Genomic DNA, 2,129 nt, shown 5'->3' with positions numbered 1-2,129 from the left:
AGCATGGAATGTTCATTACAAAATCAGTTATGCTTTTACAGTAAGCCCCAGGGAGTTTGGCAGACAAAGCAAATGACATAAAATGAGATCGAGCGTGAGAGTGAGCGAGCCAGGGAGAGCAAGCGGAAAAGAGAGAGAGAGAGAGAGAGAGAGAGAATGAATCTTAGAGAATTAAATTTGAAAGAGGCCTTAGAGGCCCTGTAGCCCAGCTCCTTTGTCTCTGTTGGAGATGCCAAGGCCCAGAGAAGGGACATGCCCTAGTGGGACCCCTGAGTAGCTCAGTGCTGAGTCACTGGCTAATTTCTTGCTCTTTGCCCTTGGCAACTCATGTCTATTTGACCAGAGATGAACCAATTGGCTTGGAAGATGCTTCTGGAAGCACTATTCAAATTAGCCAACAGCTCCTCCATGCTGCTGTATTTGTCATAACAAACACAAGAATAAATAATGCAGCCTTGAGGAGGGGCAGCCAGAAATGTCTGTACGGATGCCAGAAGCAGCCAGGGATCCCCTTTGGGGCATGCTGGGGCCCTCAGGAGGGTCCCAGGTGCTGGATTTGGCTATGACCACAGGGCATAAAGTGTGAGTGCAGCTGAGGCTTTTCTGCGTGTATAATTTCCTTCTCTGATTTCCCAAGGAGTTAATGAAAAGATTATAATCATCATCATTTTCAGCAGCACCATTGTTTTGCACTTTCATTACTTAGGTGGGTTTTAGCCCTACATAGGTTGATGGCCCTCAGTCCTTACTTGCACCCAGGACCAAATGGACCACTGGGCCAGTGCAGGACTCTGAACTCCAGCTCAGATTTCAGGCCCAGCTCTTCCTCTTTCCAGGTGAATGGGATGACTTGAGTGAATTCCCAACCTTCCTGAATCTCAGTCCCCAACTTGCAGAATAGAGAACTTAACCTCTAGCTTGTGATCTGATGGGACAACAGGTTCTGATTGCTGCTCACCATTCTCCCTCTTTGTGTGGGGATTACACAGATAGCTCCTATTGAAAAGCCTGCTCCCTGGGGGTCATACCGTTTTCTTGTTTGCAAGAAGGAGCACTTGACAGAGGCACCAGCACACTCAAAAGCGAAATCTGAGAAGAATGTAATTTTCTACTTTTTCTTCTTGCACAAAAGGGAAAATGATTTACTGCATCGCTCCCCAGAGCTTGATGTCAGCTGGCTGTAGCCACTGCTACATTAGGGAGTGACAAATCTGAAGCTTGCCATCAGAGTTTATGAACAATTTATGAGGGCAAAATATGCATCAAGCTCTGATCTTTCAGGCTAGGGAGGTAAGGCAGGGGAAAGGCCAGAGGTCACCTAGCCAGCCTCCTGCCTCTGACCACACACATTTCAGCTTTACACTAAGGTCAAATGACCAGCAGCTATAAACATGATGCAGGAAGAATGTCTTGCTGGGCACTGCAATTCATAAACCTACCTCCATCCAGAGGTAGAGGTTGGAAAAGAAAGAGCACAGGCCCTGGAATCAGACAGACCTAAGTTCCCCTCCCAGTGCTGCCACTTAAGATCTACGCAACTTTGCATCATTCTCTTTCCTTCTGTGAACAGAAGTTTCTCCAGTGACCTTCAAGTTGGTCTGTAGCCTTGACCTTTATCTTATTTCCTGTCCTCCAGGTATCTACTAGAGACTCCTGTGTGCCCCACCTCTGAACTCTGAATCTTTTCCTGAGTCCTGCTCCTCTTCCTTTGCATGCACATCCATCAACCTACCTACATTCATTGTCATAGACTCTGCCTTCCCCCGTCACTCTGGATGAACTGTCCCTTCTCTGATCTTAGAGCAGCCGCTCCAATTGTGCCCTTGATCCTATGCTTTTTTACCTACTCAAGGACATCACTATAGTGGTTTTCTCCTCTATCTGCATCATGCCACTTTCCCTCTCTACTAGATCATCTCCATCCACATGCAAACATGGCTTCTATCTACCATCTTCAAAAGATCCAAACCTTGATCCTGTCTCCTCCAGCTACCAATTTTCTTAACCCCAAAGTGAGCCAAACACCTACAAAGAGTTGTGTTCCTTTCTGGCTCCTCTTCTGTATTTCAAGTTGTTTCCCTATTCTTGTCAGCTTCTGATCCACTATTTCACTGAAATGGTTCTTAACT

The 2,129-nt window shown here is 46.4% G+C and overlaps 1 annotated feature.

Annotated features, from left to right (window-relative positions):
- Positions 702–1,248: an enhancer, noted in NCBI's record as "NANOG hESC enhancer chrX:150993617-150994163 (GRCh37/hg19 assembly coordinates)". NCBI's record gives its function as "activates a minimal SCP1, AML or CMV promoter by ChIP-STARR-seq in naive H9 embryonic stem cells {active_cell/tissue: H9 hESC(naive)}" and the evidence as "EXISTENCE:reporter gene assay evidence [ECO:0000049][PMID:30033119]".

Source organism: Homo sapiens, chromosome X, assembly GCF_000001405.40.
Source record: "Homo sapiens chromosome X, GRCh38.p14 Primary Assembly".
NCBI lineage: Eukaryota > Metazoa > Chordata > Mammalia > Primates > Hominidae > Homo > Homo sapiens.
This window is presented reverse-complemented; position numbering and strand designations above follow the sequence as displayed.